This window comes from Homo sapiens, chromosome 1 (genome assembly GCF_000001405.40).
Source record: "Homo sapiens chromosome 1, GRCh38.p14 Primary Assembly".
Lineage (NCBI taxonomy): Eukaryota > Metazoa > Chordata > Mammalia > Primates > Hominidae > Homo > Homo sapiens.
In genome coordinates this window covers 90,376,384-90,401,146 of record NC_000001.11, presented here as the reverse complement: position 1 = coordinate 90,401,146, position 24,763 = coordinate 90,376,384, and the positions used below count along the sequence as shown (strand labels likewise).

Sequence of the window (24,763 nt, the reverse complement as noted above, 5' to 3'; positions counted from 1 at the left end):
CATTTCTTCTTCCTAACAGGAACAAGATGTCTCCAGAGTTAAATACATGAATTAAATGCAATTTCAATGGATGTCCCAATGTTTTAAATTGAATAACATGACTTTAAAGAAGATATGGGAAACTTCAACTCCCAGAAAAATGAAGTAGATACATACTTCTCTATTCCTTCCACTAAGTACAACTGAAAACCGTGACACTATATATAAAACAAACATAAGAAGACTCTGAAAGGCAAGAATGGGTTTTCTTTTGCCTCCTTTATTCCAGACTTGTAACTGAAGAAGCCATCAACCAAGAAATTTCCAACAGACCCAGATGGAAAAAGTCCCAGTGAAAGCCTGTTCTTTAGCCAAAGGGGCCAGAAAAGAGCAAGATAGCAGGACAAGGTATGTTTAGATAACAACTACTCTATTACCCAAGATTATCCAAACAAACAGAACCCAGAGAATGTATACACAGACACACAGACACACACACACACACACACACACATATATGTGTATATGTATGGTTTTGGCTCATTCAGGGCTGACAAGTTCCATGACCTTCCATTGGCAAGCTTCAGACCCAGGTAAAGTCAATGTTTCAATTCAAGTCTAAGATAGTGAAAAATACTATGTCCTACTTTGAAGGCAGTCAGGCAAGAGGAATTTCTATTTACTCTAGAGGGTCAGCTTTTTTTTTGTTTTTCTACGTAGGCCTCCAGCTGGTTGGAGGGGCACACTCACACCATGGAGGGAAATCTGCTTTCTGTACTCTACTAATCCAAACATAACACACCCAGAATGATATCTGACGAAATCTGTAGATACCTCTTGGCCTAGTGAAGTCAACATATAAAATTAATCATCACAACTGCTTCAGCCAAATGCCACAGAAAAAACTGTGGCACCACCCACATCCATACCAGCAAAGGCTAAGTAAGGAGCCTAGACTTCCACCCTTGCCAGTATGTAAGGAAACATCTCAGCTTGTTGGGGCAGAGTTCTAAAATGGGCACCTTGTGATAGCTGCTAAGGTCTCAGGGAATGTGAGGAATTAAGTGTGAGCCTCCTCCCTGGGTCAGTGCCACTGTACAATTCCCCAGAAGGTCCCTATGTTAGTTTCAGGTCACATGAAGGTTAGAGGGACTCTCTCGTAGCTAGGATTGCAGGAGTCCACAGTGAGAATGTGAGCCACTGAGGGCCTCTCACTTACCCTTTCCCTGTGCTGGGGAGTCTTTCTCGGCTCCCAGCTGGTCCCAGCCGAGCATGCTGCCTCATTACCTTCTCCTTTTTTGTTTAGGTATTGCCTGTCACTTTTCTGTTGAATTCTGGTGTTCTCTCTTGGATACTCTATTTGAAGCATGATTATCTACTCATTATCTTAGTTCTTGTTACTGGAGGGTGAGAGCATGAAATTCCCCTGATCAGCCATCTTGAAGCATGGACATAAAAATCTTTGACAAAAATTAGCAAATAGGGCCGGGCGTGGTGGCTCACGCCTATAATCTCAGCACTTTGGGAGGCCAAGGTGGGTGGATCACCTGAGGTCAGGAGTTCAAGACCAGTCTGACCAACATGGTGAAACCCTGTCTCTATTAAAAATATAAAAATTAGCCAGGCATGGTGGTGCATGCCTGTAATCCTAGCTACTCAGGAGGCTGAGGCAGGAGCACTTGAACCCGGGAGGCGGGGGTTGCAGTGAGCTGAGATTGCGCCATTGCACTCCAGCCTGGGCAACAGAGCAAGACAGCATCTCAAAAAAAAAAAAAAAAAAAAAAAAAAAGCAAATGGAATTAGACAATATATCAAATAAAGTTTATATTGTGACCTAGTGGAGTTTATTCCACAGATATAATTCTGGTTCAACTTTTGAAATCAATTGTGTAATATACCATATTAATAGGCTAAAGAAGAAAAATCACATAAGCATATCAATTGATGCAAAAAGTTGACAAAATTCAATACCCATTCATAGTAAAACCTCTTAAGAAAAATAGGAATAAAGGGAAATTTCTCAACTTGACTGAGAAGATCTATAAAAACCCTATAGTTAACTTCTACTTAATGGTAAAAGGCTGAATGGCTTTTCCTCTAAAATTGGCAACAGGGAAAGAATGTCTACTCTTACTCCATAGTACTAGAAATTCTAGCCAGGGCAGCAAGGCAAGAAAAGAAAACAAAAGATATATGTATCTGATATTGTTTGGCTCTGTGTCTCCACTCAAATCTCATCTCAAATTGTAACCCCCATGTGTCAAAGGAGGAGCCTGGTGGGAGGTGATTGTATCATGGGGGCAGATTTCACCCTTGCTGTTCTCATGATAGTAAGTGAGTTGTGATGAGATCTGGTGGTTTTAAGTGTGGCATTTTCCACCTTGCTCCCTCTCTCTCTCCTGCTCCACCATGGTAAGACCTGCTTGCTTCCCTTTTGCCTTCCACCATGATTGTAAGTTTCCTGAGGCCTCCTAGTCATGATTCCATTTAAGCCTCCAGAATTATGAGTCAATTAAATCTCTTTTTTTCATAAATTACCCAGTCTCAGATAGTTCTTTATAGCAGTGTGAGAATGGACTAATATAGTATCAGAAAAGAAGAAATAAATCAGTCCTTATTTGCAAATAACATGATTGTCTTAATAGAAAAATCCCAAAGAATCTACAAAAAAACCATGTAGAACCGAAAGTTTACATGAGTTTAGATAGGTCACAGAATATAGTATAAATATACAAAAGTTAACTGTATTTCTAGGTACTGGCAATGAGCACATGGACACTGAAATTAAAATAATTACTGAAATTAAAAATGATACCACTTAGGGTCACTTAAAAATTAGATACTTAGACATAATTCTAACAAAATATGTAAAGAACTTGTGTGCTGAAAAATATAAAACATTGATGAAAGATATTAAAGAAGATACAAATATGTGAAGAGACATGTCATATTCATGGATTGGAAAATTCAACATAGTAAAGGTGTTGGTCCTCCGCAGTTGATAACAGGTTTAACCTAAGATTTTTTCTAAATGTGAGAAAGATTATTTTAAAACATATATGAAAAGATAAAGGAACCAGAATTGGTAAAACAAAATTGAAAATAAAGAGTAAAGTGGGAGAAATCAGCCTACATGATTTCAAGACTTATTATATAGCTACAGTAATCAAGTCTGTGTGATATTTAGGCAGAGGGCTAGACCTGGAGATTAATTAATACAGAATAGAGAAACCAGAAATAAATAACCCAAACCAATATGCCCAACTGATGTTTGACAGAGGTCCCAAAGCAATTTAGTGGAGGAAGATAGCTTTTTCAACTATGTTGCTGAAGCAAGTGGACAAAATATATGAACAAAAGATGTGCACATATATGTCACTATATGTCGAAGAAGATATGTCGATGGAAAACAGCAAATGAAAAGATGTTAAATATTATTGCCATTTGAGAACTGCAAATTAAAACCATAATAAGATATTACTACACATCTATCCAAATGGCTGCAACAAAAAATAGTGACAACACAAATGCTGACAAGAATGGAGAGAAACTGAGTCACTCATATATTGCTGGTGGGCATGTAAACTGGTATAGGCATTCTGGAATATAGTTTGCTCATTTCTTATAAAGCTATACATGCAACTAGCATACAACCTAGAAATTACACTCTTGAGCATTTATTCTAGAGAAATGAAAACATACATTCACAAAGAAACCTGTATGTAAATGTTGATATCAGCTTTATTTGTAATATCCTGTAAATGAGAATGATCCAGATGTTTTTCAACAATGAATGATTAAGCAAATTTTGGTACACTGAAACCATGAAATACTACTTATCAATTTAAAAGAATGAACCATTGATTTAGGCAACGACTTGGATAAGTCTTAACGGAATTAAGCTGAATGAAAAAGTCCCATCTCAAAAGGTTATACACTGCATGATTGCATTCATATAACATTCTTGAAATGACAAAATTATATAAATTTAGAATGTATGAGTGGCTAAGGAGCAGATGAGGGCAGGAGAGAAGCGGATATGACTATAATAGAGCAACACAAGCATTCCTTGTGAGGAAGGAAATGTTCTATATCTTGACTGTATCAATGTCAGTATGCTGATTGTGATATTGCACTACAGTTTTTCAGTGTGTTACCATGGGAAGAATTATGGAATTTCTCTATTATTTCTACAACAGCAAGTGAATCTACAATTATCTCAAAGTAAAAATAATAATTTTATAAAAAAGAATGTATGGAAGATTAAATGAAAATAGTCAACAAAATTATTAAAAAGAAAAGCAGTGATATTTTTCTATAGATTAAATAATCCCCTAGAGCCACTGTAATTAGAATAATATAGTATTGGCATAAAATGCCAATGGAATAGAATAGAGAGCAAATAAATATATCCCAATGGCTATGGGAAGTTGTCATATGCCAAAAGTAATATTTCAATTTTTGGGGAAAAGAATCATTTATTTAATAAATGATGTTGGCATGACTTTATTTTATTTAGAAATAAAAAATACAAATTGTACTCTTACCTTTCATTATATATAAAAATAAATCCCAAAAGTGTTACAAATTTAAGTATAAAGTATAAGGTTATAAAAATTTTAGAAGAAAAATTAGGAGAGAATAAGGGTAAGTGCAAGACAGAGTATTAGAAGCCTAATTCTAGTAGAAAAACAGAAGAAAACTAGAAGGAAAAACACTGATTGTATTTATTTGTATTTGCCCTTCAGTAAATTTTTTTATCCATTTTTCTATTATGCTGCAATTAAAAATTTTAATCAGTGAGTACCATTAATGTACAATGCTGGTGAAATTGAAGTATTACAACCTTAGAGCCTTATAGTCTGGAAATATCTATAATAACTTGAAAATGCACATACATTTTAATATCAGTTCACTTTTGGAGAATTTCTCCCTTAGAAATAAATACAGCAGTTTGAAAAAGAACATTACAACATTATTTATAATGACAAAATCAGAAACATTCTGAATGTTCATCAGTAGCAGATTGGTTGAATAAATTGCTGTGCATTGATATTATGCAGCTGTTGATAAAGAACGAGTTCTACCAATACTGATTGACTCACAAAGTTTTTCTTATGAGCTAAAGAGAAGTAACTGTTAGGTAATCTAAGTTTTGTAACATAAATGACCACAAAGCCCAATATATGTACTTATATATTCATACATAACTAATGAGCATGAAAAGAAGGGTGGAAGGCTGTATACCAACATGTTAACTTTGGCTCTTGGGTCAGGAATAATGTGAGGGAGAGGGGTGAGGAGAAAGGAGGAGAGATGAGTAAACAGAAAGATTAAGATCACGGAAGAGGTGTTTTGAATTTTTAAAAGGTATGTATAATACAAACTTATTTATATATAAAAAAGTATGGTATGTATGTGTCTAAAGAAGGATATGAAAATTTGGTCACATAGTGCTACTAATGATGATAGTCTCTGAGTGGTGGGACTTAAGTAATTTTTTTTAACTTTCTTCCTTATAATTACATGAATTTGCTCAACTTTCTAATAATAAGAATGTATTATTTATATATTCAGAAAAAGCAATAAGGCTTATATTTTAATTTAGTGGGGGAAAACCAACACATATTTTTATACTTATTTTAGTGTCATTGAGGAGAATTTGCCTAGGAGATGCAAAGAGAGAGAAGCCTATACTTTGAGGGTGGAAGCCCCTCCAACAGGTAAGCTGGAGTTTCCAGGATGGAGAGAATAAGGGCTTTACCTCCAGGGAGCTTGACTGGTATAATATCCAAACAGCAATATTGAGTAGACACTGAAATATTTGAAACCAGAATTCAGAGGAGAGGGCTAACCAAAGTTTTAAACCTGTTCAACTGGTCATTTGCTGGTACCTTTTTGTTGAATCTGGAATATAGGGAAGGAGAATCGATTTTGAACAGAACCTATAGAGTTACATTAGTAGCCTAGAAGGGAATGAATTTTAGAAGGCTAAAAAATTCAGCAGTGGATAAAAGAGATAGTAGATGTCAATACATTTTAAAGATGTTTTGTATTAAATAAGACTTCTTTTAAAAGAAGTTGCAACAATTCAACAAATACTTATTGACTATTTCCACATGCCAGGTGCTGGGCTCAGCATTGGGTCTAGCAGGAAACCAACCCCTTTAACTAACCTAGGGTAAAGGTAGGTGGAACAATCATGGTCATATGTGTAGTTCATCTACTGTATGAGGCCGACCCAGAATGAATCGAAGACAGACACCAGAACAGGCTGTAAATGATCAACACTCTTCCACTTGACACTTCTTGTTCAAGTTCCTTCTTTCCAGGATCTCAGAAAAATATCAAAAAAGATTTATATCAATTCCTCATCTCCAATGTACACTTGGAGCTCTCTTTAATGACCTTGTTTCCCTCCCTATTAACATTGTGCCAACATTCACTATTACTACCTTCTTCTGTTGAGTTTTGTGTAAGTTTTGATTAGTTAGAATGGTTTTGCAATAAAGCTGAGAAATTGTCTTTTTTTCCTAACTTTAATAGATGCTGATTGCAAAGTAGATATGATTATTTTCCATTTTACAGATGAGGAAACTTGGAGATGTTAAGTAATTTGTCCAGAGTATCGGAGGTTTTTGCTGGCAGACTTAGGACTTCTGAGTTCAAAGTGCACACTCTTCCTTCTGCAACAAGTGGCACAGTGTCTTACGCAACAGTCCTTGAGGGCCTCCCTTCCTGAGGATGCAGTAGCAGTGGAACAGCAAGGCCTAAGTGCTCTGCAAACATTTGCTGCCCAGTGAGGAGGAGCTAAATCTGTCCCAAGTAGGGGTATTGTGTCTTTTTTTAGCTTTATACCTATTTTTAAGTTGCCAGCTTTTTGCTAGGCACAGTTTGAGGTCCCAATTAATAATAGGTCCAGTTTAATAATAATAATAGTAATAATGACCTCTATTTACTTATGTTATTTTGTGGCAGGAAGAGAATCAAGCACATTTCATGAAGTAACTCACTTTATTTTCACAGCAGTCCTATGAAGTAGGTATTTCTATTACCCTTGTAGGTAAGAAAATGGAAGCACAGAGAGTTTAGGTAACTTACCTAAAACCACACAGCTAGGAAGTGATAGAGCTGGAATTGAAATCTGGCAGAATGACTCCAGAGTTTTTCATCTTAACCATACCGTTCAGATCCATCATCAAGAAAATCAAAGGAAAGAGGAGATAGCCAAGTGAACAGACAAATGCCATGCAGAGTAGTAAGGACCATGATTGAGGCATACACAAGGCACTGTGGAGTTTGGAGAAAAGCAAGACCTAGGGAGAAAGTGAGGAGAATTGTCCCACGAAGAATGCAGAGAAAAGAAGATAGACCTAGGCAGTATTAGTATTCATATTTTATAGGTGAAGAAAGAGAGGCCCAGAGAGATTAAGTCATTTTCCCATTTGTAGCTGGTAAGGTGGTAGAACAAGGATTTGAACTCAGGCAGTCTGGCACCAGATTCTGTGCTCTTAGTCCCTGTATTGTGATGAGAGTAAGATAGTGAGCTAAATTTCGAGCATCTCAAATTTTAGACGACCATGGAGACATCAAATGGCAATTTTCTGTAGGCAGTTGGGCACATAATCCTGGAGCTCAGGATGGAGATCCAAATTCCTCTGCCAGCTCAAACTGGCACAACGATCTTCTGCAACAAGACAGCCACAAGCAGGCACTTCCTGTATGGTCATTTTAGGGTTCATGTCCTTAATATCCCAAGCATATTAGAAGCATGAACTTTAACAACTGATTTTTAACTAGATGCTTAATGAAATTTTAATAAGCACTGGCTGAAACCATTGGGCATCAATGGAGGGGAGAGACTGTGCTTATAAAAAATGACTCATTACCTTAGATTCTTTCTGGAATAAGGCAGTGGGATGATTAGGTAGATAAAATATTCTAGGACTCTTGCTTGTCATATGATTCTGGATACAACAAGGAGATAAGCCCTGATATGGAAAAAGGTTGGCAGAATTAGTGAGAAAAAGCTAGCCTCAAGGTGTAGGAAATAACCAAATTAAATGGGCTGCTTGCAGGCACAAGTCTACTGTGGGCTAATTTGTTTCCTGCAAAAATAAAAAAAAAACCCCTCAACTCATTTTTGTCCTCTTAAATTTTAAACAGATACTGTGTAATTGCACTTCCCTTCTCTTAAGATTGTTTTGCTTGGGCAAGAGGAGAGTGGAGGGTAAGAGGGAGGGAGAGAGAGAGAGAGAGAGAGAGGGAGGGAGGGAGGGGGGGAGGGAGGGAGAGAGAGAGAGAGAGAGAGAGAGAGAGAGAGAGAGAGAGAGAGAGAGAGAGAGAGAGAGAGAGAGAGAGAGAGAGAGAGACACATACATAAGCCCTGGGCTCCATCTTGTTGCTTATCAGGGATGCTAATAACATCCCACCTGCCAGTACAACCGGGAGATGGGTATGTTTCATCTAAGAATCTTCTCTTTGAAATATCAGTGCTTACTCTTTTTCTGAGGAAAATTCCAACTTCAATTTTCTTTCATCTCTGACTCTGTATGAGAAGCTATAGTTTAACTGCACTTAGTTGATCAATTGATTAAATATTGACCTCATTTGCTGGCTCAACCCAGACAGGATATAGAGAAAGCATGAAGCCTCTTTTTCCAGGCCACATGCTCATGTTTTCTCCATCCCTGCAGGACATTTATTCATTCACCAGATCTTTGCAGGCAGCATATTATAGGCCAGTTACTGTTTTAGTGCTGGGGAAATGACAAAGAAGAAAAGCTCACTATCTATCGAGGAAGACAGGTCCACAGGCTGTTGCAGTGCCATGTGGAAAGTACTGCAATGAGAGTAACCATAGGGTTCCATGAAGAGACATATAGGGGCATAAAACTAAGATTTGGAGTATCAGGGAAAGCTTCCTGCAGACAGGTGTGATAACGAGGCAGAGACCTGAAGGCTAAGCAGAAGTTAGTCAGGCTGAGGGGGATAAGAGGAAAGGTACAGGGCTCCAATCTATGAAAACAGCATGTACTAAAGTCTTGAGGCTAGAAGAGGGAAGGCCCAGCGGTCATACATGGCTTAATGTGCCTAGAAAGTGTGAGTAGGGAAGAAGGAAAAAGGAGTCTAGGTGGTAAGATAGATGGGCAGGAGAGGTAAACAGAAGGGTTTTGGATGACAGGCCCTATCATAAGCCTAAGGAGTTTGCTTTTTACTCTGATTGAGATAGGAACCATTAAAATGTTTTGAGCAAGGGAATGACAAGATCAGATGTGCATTGTAGAAATACTGTATTGGTATGGATAATGACTTAGAGCAAGTTTGTCCAACCTGGGGCCTCTGGGCTGCCTGTGGCCTGGGACAGCTTTGAATGTGGCCCAACACAAATTTGTAAACTTTCTTAAAACATTACAAGATTTTTTTTGCAACTTTTAAAGCTCATCAGCTACTATTAGTGTTAGTGTAGTTTATGTTTGGCCCAAGACAATTCTTCTTCTTCCAGTGTGGCCCAGGGAAGCCAAAAGATTGGATACCCCTGACTTAGAGGATGTAAGACTAGAGAAGCGTCATTGGTATGTTGCAGTGGTAATATAGATATGAGAAGATATTAGCCTGAAATAACAAAATAGCTTGGTAATGAATTGCTTTGGGGGATTAGAAACAGGGAGAAACCAAGGGTCAAGGATGGAACTATGGTATAGTGAGGCTGTGAAGAGGGCTCACTGTTCCCTACCCTGAAGATGTCTGCAGGCCACACTTCTTTTGTTTGCTGCTTGCAGAGTTTTAAGCAACTCTTGGAAAAACAGACTGTGTAATCTATTTGTTTCCCATTCCCTCACTCCATGCTACCGTGACTCATTCAGCCAATTCATTGTCTGTAGTCTATGCCTTTGAGAAGCTTGCAGACAATTAAACAAGTGATTAGAAAACCATACCAGATTACATCAACATTTTAGGGCAGAAGCATGGAGAATCTAAAGGGTTTGCATGCTCTGAAACTTACTTTGGCTTCCATGTTCAGAAGAAAGGTAGGAAAAAATACCTTAATGCAAAATGAAACATTCCTGATGGTTGAATTCACATTTGTATGACAGTATCACAAAACATCTTGCTAGCAAATTTTCCTAGGAGTTCTAGATACACATTCCCAATTTCTTTCTAAAAATCTTGATATTATGTTCTTTAGATACATCAAACTTAGCATTTCCAAAAACATCTTATGAACTTTTCTTCTGTATTCCCATTCTTGGTGAATAGTGTTACCATCTATTGTCACTCAAGTTAAAAGCTTCAAAGACAACCATAATTTCTGCTCCCTCACTGTACACACCCCTTCTCAATTTCAACTTGGGCAGGAAGACTTGCCAAGTCAATATACAAAATATATATTAATATCCCCACTGCCCTAGTTCAAAATGGCACAAATTTTTCCCTGAACATGCCACAGTTGTAGAATGGTCTCTCAGAGCCTACTTCGTTTCCTACACTCTCATCACAGTACTTCTTCAGTAAGCAGCTTACATTATGTCATAACTGAAAACCACACCCAAAGCATAAAGTCTCCACACCCAAAATATAAAGTCAAAACTTTTTAACAAGGTTCTTCACAGTCAGACCCCAAATTATGTTTATAGTCTCTCTCCCCCGGACTGTGAGCTCCCCTAGGGCAGAGGCTATGCTTTATTCATCTTTGTAGACTGTCTAGCACAGTGCATAACACATAATACTTGCTCAATAAATGTTTGCTGAAAGAATAGGGCTAGAAATGTGGCACCTTCCCATATATGTATTTACTTCCTTTCAAGTTAAAATAGTCCATGGTGTGTTTTGTTGCAGGCAACATGACTGCAGCACAATCAACTATGGCTTTGCTGATCTCGTGTATCATCATCCTCATCATCCTCATCCCCGCAATTGCAGCAAACGTCCAGTTGTGCACTTACTGCTGATGATGAATAAATGTATAGAACAGGAAAAAATGTATCTCACCTTCAGACAGAAGGTTGCACTCACATCCTTAGCAGTTATAAACAAGGCTTAAAAACAAGACTGAGTTTACATGAATGATTTGTTTTTAGACTGAGGGCTATATGATTGCTTTGGTAGTAGTGGTCCCTAATGGAGCTATGTTAATTGGCATCTGGGTTAGAAAAGAAAAATTAATATGGCCCTCAGAGGCAAGAACTGGGGCTCGTCTACATTTAGTGGAATCTTTCAGAGCCTCTTTAGAGGGGCACACACCCTAGAGAGGATGATGAAGACAAAAATTTTGAATGTTGGAAAAAAATTGTGTTTGAAGAATAAATTACATAGAACATATATGTGTGTGTGTGTGTGTGTGTGTGTGAGGGAAAGAGACAGAATGGGAAATGGTCAGTGAGGGATGTACCAAGTTACAGTATCTTTTTTCACCCATTATAAAAGAAATACATGTTCATGTTAGAGATCTTGAAATAAATAAAAGAAATTTATGTTTATTTTAGATATCTTAAAATAAATTTAAAGAAAAAAATCAAATAGTAATCCCAACATTCAGAATAACAAATGTTAATGTTTTGGATTATTAACTTCCAGTCTTTTTGTATGGTTGTGTAACTAGTATAACATACTGTTAAAGACTACAAGCCTCTGTCATTTAATAGACATAGTGTCAAGTTCCAGTATAGCCACTTCCTATTGAAAGGTTATTTAAAATATTAAAGCCTCAATTTTTCCCAGTAAAATGAAGATGAAGATGATGGTAATAATAATAAAAAGTAATCCATAGGTTTGTTTTTAAGATTAAATAAGATAACATGCATAGAGTGCTAAGCTTGGTGCCTAGAGCATAGACTAAGTACATAATAAAAGTTAGGTAGTTTTTTTTTATTTTAACAAAACGAATTTTATGCTCTCTCTGTGTGTGTGTGTGTGTGTGTGTGTGTGTGTGTGTGTGTGTGTGTGTGTTTCTGTAGTTTAATCTCTCCCATATCCTTGATTATTTTCTTAGGATGAATTGCTGGAAGTGGAGTTACTAGGTCAAAGGGCATGTATATTTGACGATTCTTGATACCTAGTACTGAATTGTCCTCCAAATAGGCTGTACCAATTCATCCACCCTCTGGCTTCATATGAGAAGTCTCACTTCTCACCCATACCAACAATGGGCATATATAGATATAGATATATAGATATCTTGCCAATTTAGTCGGCAAAATACCCTTATTTTAATTTATTTAATAATTTATAAATATTATAGTGTCATTTGAAGCCACAACCCTCTGGGACTGATTAAATAGATGAGAAGTGCCCATTATATAATATGCTAAAGAAGCTGGTTTTATCCTACAGAAGATAAGATCAGAGGCGAAACTTCATGACTATCTTCAAGGATATAAGGAGGTTTATGTGAAAGCATTGTTTTCCATGTTATAAGTAGTTAACTAAACAAGAGAAGCTGGGCTATGATTAAAATAGTTTAAACTTCTCTTGAATGCAAGGGCAGAACTGCCACTTTCAACATGACAGAGTACTAGGAAGGTTCTGAGAAAGATCTTGGGGTCCCTGAAGCTGTAATGACCAGCACGGTCACTTTTTTGCCTTTGGTGGGACATCCAGCTCCCTGAAGGGAATGGGCACACCACCTGATTTATTTGGTCTCTTCCAGTTCTGTGATTCTATAGTTAATTTAGTGAAGTGTTGATTTTGTGATATTTTTGAAACTAGAAAAGATGGATTTATTCCAATGCATCCATCAGGTGACATTTTCGAACAGATAAATTAAGCTCTGTCTAGAAACCATCTCTCCTGTTACAAGTACAGACAAATGCAATGCAGTTCCTGCCATCAACCATCTTATTAGAAGCAGATTAATAACTAGCGATGATGACTACAGCCTTTTTTAAAAAACAGAACTTTCTGTATTTTTTCGTGCTCGGGCAGTGTTTTACGGAAAGGTGTATTTACTGTGAAGAATGTTTAATGGCAAAGCACATAATGAAGAAATAAATGAGTACAAAAAATGATTTTTTTGTTGTTGTTGCTGGCCAGTCTACTCCAGCTCTTCCCCCTGGATTCTTTCACACAAAGAACACGTTGTTATTGGAGCCATTACAGAGCTCCTCGGCTTTGCTAGGCTCTGCGGGGCTCGAGGGAAATGGCTACAGATTGCAGCAGAAAAGTCCATCAGACAGATCACATGTGACCCCACTGTTTCCAGGAAAGAATGCACTGGAACACTTCAGCTGAATAGACAGATTTTCCAAATGTTTTAAATCAGTTTTGAGACAAAAAGAGGAAGATGCTAAGAAATGGGTTTGGCCTATACACATTCGACCACGCAGTGTCCATTTCTCTGGAATGCAGACATTAGGGGCTTTCATGTGGATGGGAGGACCTTAAGGGGAAAAAACCCCAGCCCACCACAACAATTAAGCAACAATTGAAGAAAAGCAGGGAAGAAAAGATGGCCCTGTGTTAGTACAATAGCTCAGGGGCTTTTCATTTTGGGGCATAAAGACAGAACAGAGAATGTTGTTTTCTTTTTAAAGCCCTTTTAAAAATGGTAACTGCATCCTGCTCTTGTAGATGTATTACTTATGACATCCCAGTTTTCATCCGTTCATGATTTTACATTAGAGTTAAATCTCTGCAGCTTGAATCTCACGGCTGAGTTAGCCAGAGCCCATAAAATATTGAAACCTTTAGAGCAGCAGCCAGCCAGGTTGAGAGAAGTTCATGTCCAAAGCTGAGCTTTAGATTCTGAGACATCCCAATTGGAGTGTAGTACAGAAAAAAGCACTGATAAAATTTTCATAAAAATGAGCTAAGGATATTGCTAGCATGCTTCTCAGCATCTATATGAAAACTTAATCTGAGCTAATGGAAAGGATATGAAAGCCTTTCTCAATTCAAACATAGTCAATGCATGATTCATAAATTATTGTCAGAGAAGTGATTCAGCTCCCAGATTTATTCTCTTTTGGGTGGAAGCAACCAGAGGAAAACTGGGTTTTTTTTGACCTTTAATGCCAGCAAATTTTACAGTAGAGCTGTCAGTATAACCAAGTAAAGTGGTCATTTCTCCAAACAGCAACAAAATACCCACATATACCCAGTGCGAGCTAATATTAACTTGGCCTACTAGGTTACTGGCAGTACATTCAGAGCAGCAAATACCAAACATCTGAGCTTATCTGGCTATGCAAGATTGAATGAAAGCTGAATGTGGCCATGTCCACATCATCCACAGTAATTTGTATGAAATGTGCTCAGTTGTCTCCTTGCCTTCATGCCCTTTGGGTGGTGACAACTGTATGGACTCACATAACCCTATAAAGATGGAATTATTTTCTTATTATTATTAGCAGCAGCAGCAACAGCAGCTGCTCAAATTTATAGATAAAGAAAAAGGACCTTGGTTTGTGCACTGGATCATAAAAGCAATTGTGTTACATGGAAATTGTAGGCATTGTTCAGAATAATGTGAAATAAAGGTAAGAACGACAGTAGGATGGAAACTTAAACAGCCCTGCTTGTGAGGAAGCCTCTTAGAAACGTCCTTTTAATCTCATACCTTTTCATTCATCAGATATGTTTGAGCCCCTATAAAACGCTATGCATTGTGGAGAATACAAAAATGAAAATGCAAACCCTGCCTTCAATGAGTTAATAACTTTATGCAGGAGAGCTGTAGAATTTCAAACTTGAAAAGGTTCTTTAGAATCATTTAGTTTAATGCTTCTCTTCAGAGCTTTAATCTTTTCTATGATACTCCTATGACTACTCAATCAACCACAATTGAGCATCCTTAATAAGAATCTCTACCCCTGGTTGATGGTGTCATCCTTAGCCAATCATCCAAGTTAGAAACCTAGAACCAATTTTGATTCCTTATTTCTCAAACCCTTGCATTTAGTGTCAGCATTTGCCACAGATAATTCATGGGTAGATAACCAGTGTTTCTCTAAACAGTTTTGGCCCCTCCTCTGTGTTGCCACAGGCTCTGTTCAGGCTTAATTATCTCTCACTAGGACTGTTTCAAGTATTGTCAGAATTTCCCTGTCTATGATCTCTTCTTCCTCCAGTTTATCCTCCATTTGGTCACCATACTTTCTTTTTAAAACAGACCTGATCATGACACCCATGAATTTTAAAAGCCCTTTATGGCCCTTCATTTTTTACAGAATTAAGTCCAAGCTCATGAGCATACTATTCAAGGCCCTCAGAATCTGATTCTGACAGGTCTTTTTCAGGCCCATCTCCGTGCAATCATGTTCTGGTCTATAGCAGTTGTTCTTAACCCTGGCTGAACATAAGACAAGAGCCATGTAAGATTTAGTCCTTCTTTCAAAAAGCTTATAATCTAGTATGGAACTAAATCACTATGAAATAAAATATAGGAAAACAGAAAGCAATCTGTCATTAAGTTAATTAATATATTACATGAAATATGGCCAGAAATTTAGTAATAAACGTAAAGATATCCCTCTCCTGATATGTGAAAATTAAGGCTATTTCTTAAACTTCTCAAGTATGGGTGTTTGAAGGGCAGGCACAGTTTAATTCTAGAGGCAGAAAGCTACACCCAGATGTTATATTATGATTCTGTCCCATTCTGTTTTCTTGGCCATTGTTGAGCCCTGCAGTGGTCCTGTATGAATTCTGCTTAAGAGGGACCCGATGGTTATGTATTCCAGGAGTTTTAGGAATATTTGTGCAATTGGAGTTATGTTTGGGATAATTGCTATGTGTACTTTTACATTTAAGATCTATGGAGTAATATTCCAAGACATGAAGAAAATATAAGTAATTAGGTCAACTTGAGGTCTTCCTTGTTGAATTCCTGCAGCCACTGGTGGAGAATGGCTAACAATCACCTTCCCCATGCTGCCTTCTCAGTGCTTCTTATAACCAGGAGGCCTCAGGCGTGGGAAGGGTGTGGGGGCTATTGCCAGCTTCAGGGATGGGAGCAAAGCAGTAAAGTCAGGACATTGTATAAGTCAACTCTGATGTTGAGAATTGTTTTTCTTCTTAAGTGTTTATGTCATGTACCAAGGTGTATAGTATACATACCGTAGAAGCAGAAGGATGTGGAATAAGAGCCAGTGTGCTATTTAAATCAGGTCTAGGGGAAGAAAGAAGATTCTTCTAATTAGCTTTTCAAAATCATTGTGATCACAAGCCTGGGATCAGAAAAATAGAATGAGATATCCTTGTATACCTGTGTATGGGACATTTCAAACACTTACTGTAATTGTGCGACATCAATAGAGCTGCTATTTCAAGAGCTGCTAGAGATTAAATTCTACTCTGAGGTTAAAATATTGGTCTTTGTGCTAGAAGATTAAAGAGAACACTCATGTCCCTTTTCCATATGGGCACATAATTGTATTAGTAGCATTTACCAAACTCCTTAAAAGATGTACCTTATTTAGTTTGATTAAAAAAAAAAAAACTAAAATCAGCCTGGGAAATCAGCATTTCACCCAAGAAAATCAGCATCTAAGCAAAAGCCCTTGGAAGCAGGGATGTTTTCTTGCTCACGGTTTCCTTACACTCTGGCTGCATCCAAGGCTATTTGGTCTCAGGATGTCTGTCACCTATAGACTCAGATTTTATGAGTGCTGACCTCATTTGCTTCCTTTGTTTTTAATTGCCCAAGCAGCAGTGAAAAAGGAGGCAAAGAATACCATTACGGCTGGCCAAGTTAACATACATAAATGGCCCTGTTATATGGAGAGGCTGTAATAAGTCATGTGATAGAGAGCAAAGGCAGCCCAGCGTGCAAAGGGAGCAATTTTCTGCCCCGCAAACAGCACTTCAGGTGCTGTCGTTCATCTTTCTGTGACTTGCTCTGTCAAAGTCCGCCCAGAGCAGAGGTGTTCAGGGACCCAACAGGCCGTAAGTGTCCAGCTGAAAAACCTGGGAGATATCCCCAGGCCCTAGGAGTTCACTTTTTCAGTTGCACTGATTTACTTCAGAATGCTCCTTCAGGGAATTTCTGCCTTCCATTGCTTTACTTTCCCATTTCCTTTCTTGTCATCTTTAAAAATCCATTAAAGATCACGCAGACAGTTTCTGCAGGCTCAAATTTCTGAGAGTTTCTGTCGCTTAATAAAATGGGCCCTTTCAGTGGGCTGTGGTCTCCTATGTGCTTTCAGGGTTCGGATATGATTAAGACTTTTAATTAGAGGTGGTCATCGTAGATCAAGAAAGCAAAAGATGGCTGAAATTCTCAGGAAGTCAGCATTTTCCCATCGGGGATCTAAAATGGCTACTGGCCTCACAGATCCAGGATAGAAATACTAACTATGGATTATTAACACAGGAAACAAAATTAAAATGTGCTCCCCATCACCCCCCTATCTTTCCCTAATTATTTGTTTCAAAGTCCTTCAATTGCCAAGGTTAAGTGCTTATTGTCAACACTCACTGAAGGCTGCTTTAGAAAAAAATCTCAGTTTTTAATTTGTTTACAAATCCAATTTCCAAGTGTGCTTCTTACCCAGCAAAACAGAAATATCTTCTGAAATCTTGCCTGTAATTTGTCTTTCCTCCCACTGAGTCTTCTGTCTACACCCTTCCACACAATTCATTTGTTGTATAATATGCATGCAGCCTTCTGCACAATACAGGAAGATTATATTCAAATGCCACCTCGCCGATCATATCATATTAATTCAGATTTGTCTATCATTTTGTGTGGTTGCTGCTTTGCCTTAGGTATTATAATAACAATACCTCACCTGTCATATCCCACTAGCACTGCCTCACCTAGAAAATTGCTCTAATACTGCCTCGGATCTCATAGACCTTTTTTATTTTTTTAATTTTTTTTGCACAAGTTTACCTATTACAGTATAATAATTGAACTTTTATTGGAGGCTACCGTATATATTTTTATTACAGTTTTTATCTAGTCCAGCAATTGTTACATGTTGATTCTATAGCAGATTGAATCATTCAAATCTAGTCTCTTTGGCTCATCTGTAAAACATATTGTTCCCTTTTCAAACTACAGCCAATCTCTATTTGGGTAGCTTTAGTAAGTAATATTTCCAGATAGATGAGCAGCTATTCAAAGTGTTATTTATATGGGGATTTTAATATTAGGCAATATTATATGGCTCTATGAAAAGATGTCCAGAAGTCTTGGATTGGAAATCTGAGCTTAATATTTCATTTCTTGTGACAAAAATTTAAATGTACATGTTCAAAAACAAAATACAATTTCTTTGAAACACACTTTTCAGAGAAGTCTAAAATGTGGCAAATGCCAAATAGAGATCTTTTTTCCAAAGTAATATTGAGGAATTTTGCATTCATGCCATTTTTTTTTTAATTGTGAAAGCTGCTTAAGTAGTTTTCAAGTATCCACAGCCACAGGTAATTTGGTATCAGGGCTTATGAGAAGTCTGGCTGCTTTGACACGGCATGCTGAATTAGAAGAAGGCTACCTTTTAAGTGCTATATAATGAAAATAAATGATACATTTAAAGCCTGCCACTGCCTTGTAATGCATGCTGGGTTCCAGAGAGAAGAATAAGTTGCGGAAAACAAATACTATCTCATTGGCTAAGAAGCCGTCACCAATGTCTTCTTGCATAATTAAACTGGACACGTTTTTAAAAAATGAAATGGCAAAGATACACTGTTAAGCCGCAAATAGTATTCAATGGCATTATCAATTGCAGAGATTCCAAGGTTTGCATATTAATTGCAGGAAGGTGCTAATTTGAGTGTTTTAAGCTCCATTCACAAGGCTGTTTACATGCTTTGTTCCACCTGGACCTGTTTGGAGGTTTGTCAAAAACCTAACAAGCAGAAAAAGATTGCATTTGAAAATACACATGCATGTTTAATTAAGCCAGGCCCACTGAACATTCCTCAATATATTTAGCCGTTGAGGTTTAAGCACCATCAGAGCATCAGGCATTATCACCTTTTGAAGTATTGCCGAATCTTTAATATTTAAAGCACAAGGCAGACTGTAATAAAAAATTCTAGCAGACCCTAGACGATTAAAGACGCATTATAAATGTGACAGTCTGTAAATGGAACACCAGTATTAAAGGATCCCCCCGATATTTCACAGCATATTTTTCAGGTGTACGCTAAATTATGAATATAATTAAATAGCTGTAATTATTCTCCAGGAGTGGACAGCAAATTTAAATGTCTACGATCTATGCAATTGGCTACAGGATAGGGATTTATAGCATAGTGGCCTGAGTGGGCAAGGTAAACCTTTCGAGCGGGTGTCAAACAAAGCACTTGAAAATCTAGTGAGAACTTCACTCACCCTATCTGATGTTTGTCCTTTAGGAGTCCAAAGCCAGTGACTCTGTCCTGGATAAGTCTGCACAACTGCAAATAAATGTGTTGGAAAAGAATTAACTAGGGCGTGATACCCAGAGTCATGTGTCTTAGGAGCCACATTTGCAATCACCATTAAACAAAAGAGCCCTGAGATTTGTGTATTTTTGGCACACCGATCTGATCAAACACATGCAGTGCCTGGCACAGAGTCAGTTCCAAGTAAATATTTGTGAAATGAATGAATTAATCAGTGAATAATAAATATAAAATGATGCACCTATTCTAATACGTTAATGTTTTCATTAAATGAATTTTCCTGGAAACTGAATTTAGCTTGATTTAGTAAATCCATGAAAAAGAAGGGGAAAAGTGGCATATTTTTTTCTTTAAATAAGAGCATGTATCACTGTTTTTTAGTTATCAAATACTTCTTTGAGAGGTGAGATAGTATAGTCCTTACAAGAATAGGCACTGCTTTGCTACTAGTCATCTATAGGAGTTTGGTGAAGTCACTGAGCCTCAATCAATTTCAGCTTTCACATCTATAAAATGGGGATAATCCTGCTTTTACCTAAGAAATAAATGACAAATCCTTCACTTGGTACACACATAGGAATTGCTTAATAAAAAATAGCCTTTCATCAAGAAAGGCAGCACACATTAGTAGTTCAGAGCAGAGATTCTGGCCCAGACTGCCTGGGTTTGAGTCCTGGCTCTACCACTCCCCTAGATGACCTTGGACAGGTTATTTGACCTACGTGTGCGTCAGTTTTTCTACCTGTAAAATGAAGGTAATAATACAACCTACCCCATTGAGTTGTTATGAGGATTTAATGAGTTAGTATTTGTAAAATGGTTGGAACATGTAAGCAAACAAGGTTTATGAAATAAACATGAACTCTCTGCCTGTATTGGGAAAGTTTTTCTGAAAACAGGGTGTAACTTTTGTAACTCTGTGTGAGGCAAATGGGCTGTGCTTCAGAAGGGACCCAGGAGCATCCTGTGTCACTACATTTGAAACCTTTTAGAAGTCAGTGGGTTATATATTATACAAAGAACTACAGGGGCTGAGTTCCTGGCTCAGGGCTTAGGATGGGTTCCCCAAAATCCTAAAAAACAGTGCAGTTATTGGGAAACTTGTCTCAATATTTAGAAAATAGGAGTTTCTCAGTCATTTACCCCAGCAGAGGAAGCTGGTGTCACCTCTTAACTGCGTTGCTGAGAGCCTGTGCCCTTCTCGGTCCCTGATTAGATGACCAACAATATTAGCTGTTGCTAATGGTAAACCTGCTTTTTGAAAGTGCTCTTTCAAAATGAGCATTATCAAATTATTATTCTATTCCTCACAACATCTCCATGAGGAAGGCATTATAATCACCATTTTACAAAAGAAGAAACTAAGGTGCCAAGCAATTAATTTGCCTAAGGTCTTAGAGCTGGTAAAAGATGAAGTCAGGACTCAACCCAGATGTCATTAATCACCACACTCTGCTGTCTTTTTGTAGGTGTCTGTGTGAGATTGCTCGGAAAATTCAAACTGAATTTTACTTGAGTTCTAGTGAGTCCTGGTGTAGAGGTAGGGATAATTAGAAAGTGTATGTGTGTGTGTGTGCATGTGTGCATGTGTGTGTGTGTTTACTTCAAAGGTGCCCAAGGAAGCACAACTTGAAATTCTTTTTGTAGAAGAAGTTTCAAGGAGTGGACAAATTTGCATGAGGACAAATTTTCTTCCTTCAAGGAAGAAATAAATTAAAATATAGACCTTTTAATTTTTAAGAGTCACCATTACAGTTTGAGTATGTCTTATCCAAAACATTTAGGACCCGAAGTGTTCAGAATTTTTTTTGGATTTTGGAAAATTTGCATGTACTGAATGAGATATCTTAGGGATAGGATCCAAGTCTAAACACAAAATTCATTTATGTTTCATATGTGCTTTATACACATAGCCTGGAGGTAATTTTACACAATATTTTAAATAATATTGTGCATGAAACAAAGTTTGTGTTATGTACTTATGTGTGGAATCTACTTGTGGCATCATGTCAGAGCTCAAAAACTTTCAGATCTTGGAACATTTTACTTTGGATTTTCATATTATGGATGCTCAACATGTATCAGAACTACTCTGATAGACAAAGATGTCTCAGGTTAAATCTTTCTGTTGGAAAAAAAACATACCCAAAGTCCCCAGAGGATATTCTCACCATGAAGGAAGTCTATATTCATGACTTTTGTTCAAAGCTAGACCATCTGGACTGGGATAAAGCAGAAGGAAAAAGGAAAAATCTGGTTTCTACACAGTGAGTTACTGAAGTGAGAAACATTATTGACTCAGCTACCAGGCTTACAAAGAATGTAATATATTACATTACAAATAATGTGATATTTGTATCAGCATCACATTGTATACATACGTATATATATGTGCTATACATATTTGTATGTATATATACACATATAGCAGTGACATACATAAATGTTTGTATATATACACATATCATAGCAGTGACATACATATATGTTTGTATATACACATATATGATATGTATATATACATATCATACACATGTATATCATACACGTCATGTATACACATATGTACATGCATGTGTGTATATGTATATATACATACATATATGTATACGTGTATATGTATACATACATACATATATGTATACGTGTATATGTATACATACATACATATATGTATACGTGTATATGTATACATACATACATATATATGTGTATATATACACATACATCATATAAGTGTATGTGTATATATACACATACATCATATAAGTGTATGTGTATATATACAATACATCATATAAGTGTATGTGTATATATACAATACATCATATAAGTGTATGTGTATATATACACACACATATAAGTGTATGTGTATATATACACACACATATAAGTGTATGTGTATATATACACACACATATAAGTGTATGTGTATATATACACACACATATAAGTGTATGTGTATATATACACACACATATAAGTGTATGTGTATATATACACACACATAAGTGTATGTGTATATATACACACACATATAAGTGTATGTGTATATATACACACACATATAAGTGTATGTGTATATATACACACACATATAAGTGTATGTGTATATATACACACACATATAAGTGTATGTGTATATATACACACACATATAAGTGTATGTGTATATATACACACACATATAAGTGTATGTGTATATATACACACACATATAAGTGTATGTGTATATATACACACACATATAAGTGTATGTGTATATATACACACATATATGTATGTGTATATATACATACATATATGTGTATTATATATACATACATATATGTATGTATATATAATATACATATATGTATGTCACATATATCACATTATTTGTAATATAATATATTACATTCCACATTGTTTATGTGATATATTACTGCAACAGTATAAAACAATGTGATATATTCTTACGGTAAATACCCCACTTTGTCCATGCTTTGCCTGCCTTTAGGTCTTCCTCTCTCACACTGGTCTGGGCTTGGCCATATGACTGTGACTTGTTTTGGCCAGTGGGTAACAGCAAATGTGACGTAAGCAGAAATTTAAAAACTGCTTGTACATTGATATTTGTCCTCTCTTGTCCTTAGATCTCTGCCATCATGTGAGAGAGAGCCTGAGTTAGCCTGCTGGATGGTCAAAGATGAGTGGTGCAGCTAAGTGAAAGCCTGCTGACTTGTAGACATATGAGTAAGGCCATGCTTGATCACCTGGCTGCCAGCTGGCCTGCCAACTAATTGCAGGTACTTGAAAGAGTCCAGCAGAGATCAGCCACCCCAGGTCAAATAAACACCCAGCCCCCTCCCTGAGAATGATGAACTAAATAAATGTCTTAAGTACTAAGTTTTGGGTGTTTGCTACATAGCAAAAGCTAATTGATACTGTTCCCAAGGAGTGGAAAACTTCTGTAACAAAAAACAAAAAATTCTGGCATTGGTTTTGGGATTGGGCAATGGGTAGAGGCTAGAAAAATGGCAAGGAAGCTGCCATAGCAACCTAGAAAAATGGCAACCCATGCTATAAAATAGGGCAATTGGTCAATAATTTTTGAAGTGGTTTGTTATGCAGCAATAGCCTACTGATACACCATGTGAATTATAGCAAGGAATAGCTAAGGCAAAACAAAACATTGGATGAGTAGCATAGTTCATTCTAAAGAACCACTAAGGCTTGCTCAGGAATATGTACTAATTCAGGTGGCATCTGTTAACTATCACTGAGCATAATATTGGAGGATAAATCTGCTTTGCTTATTGCCACCCCCGTAGCTTAGAAGCTACTCCTAAAACAGCAAGGATGTCACTGTGGCAGTGGGCAAGGATTAATTCCCTCATTTATTTATTCATTTATTAATTCAACAAATATTTTTAAATTTCCTTTTGTGCTAGGTCTTAAGCATACAATAATATAAAGACAGACACAGTTTCTTGGAAACTGTATTTTGCTATATAGAAAAAATGCTACCAATTGACTCTTAAAAGAATTCATTTCAACAAACACATAATGAGAACTCACTAGGTGTCAGATATTGACCTCATTATTATATCATAGTTAAAGAGAAGTAGGGAAACAGAAAGTGACAGAAATTGCTCAAATTTAGATAGAACAGGTACCCCAGTGATAACCTCCTGAGGAAAATACTAATGACATTGAGAACAGTTTCGAATCAAGAGTCAGGAGCCATTGCAGTCTGACTTTTAGTTCTGCCACTGGTCAACTATAATGATCAATAATAAGCAATATTGATTTGGTGTTACTACAATACGCCAAATAGCACATTAACTATTTTAAAATGTACTGCCTCATTTAAATTTTACAGCTATCCTATGTACTATTATTATTTCAGTTTTATAAATGAGAATGTTGAGGCTCTAAGAAGGAATGTTAGTTGCCGAAATTAACATTAAAGATTGATTTGGAGATGTAACAAAGCTATCCAGACAACCAAGAAACTAACTGTTATTCGTCTCAGAGCTACTAAGTGGTAAAGCTGTGAATCAAGTCCAATTCTGTCTGACCTGAAACCAGGACTTTTATCTACTGTGCCACATTGCTAACAGAGTGACCTTGGACAAATCACTTACTATTTCTAGGGTCTAGTTTAGTGAAGCTTAACACAAGGAATTCAAACCAGATGACTTCTAAATTCCTTCCACTTCTAACATTTCATGATTCAAGCATTGCCTATTATCCATAACTTACTAAATAGAGTTTGAAAAATCTTGACTAAATATTGCAGTAGGTTTGGGAACATTTCCCTCAGAAGCTTCCCAACTATAAATCCCTGATACCTTTTCACTATAACGTGGCTGTGTTCTAACTTTCAAATCTCAGATCCAGCATTTTCCCTCACTTCAGTCCTAACTGCCTTATCAGAGTAGAAGTTACAGCAGAAAAGCCT

At 37.0% G+C, this 24,763-nt stretch overlaps 1 long non-coding RNA gene across 2 annotated transcripts; it reads left to right on the top strand.

Moving 5' to 3' along the window:
* Window positions 1-23,205, top strand: LOC105378850 (uncharacterized). Of its 2 annotated transcripts, none has more exons than XR_001738147.2 (3): window positions 1-387; window positions 5,626-5,702; window positions 22,953-23,205. It is a non-coding gene; the product is annotated as an uncharacterized LOC105378850 (long non-coding RNA). The 2 variants fall into 2 exon arrangements; XR_947590.3 differs by lacking the exon at window positions 22,953-23,205 and adding an exon at window positions 10,819-11,386.
* Window positions 23,206-24,763: the final 1,558 nt, after the last annotated feature.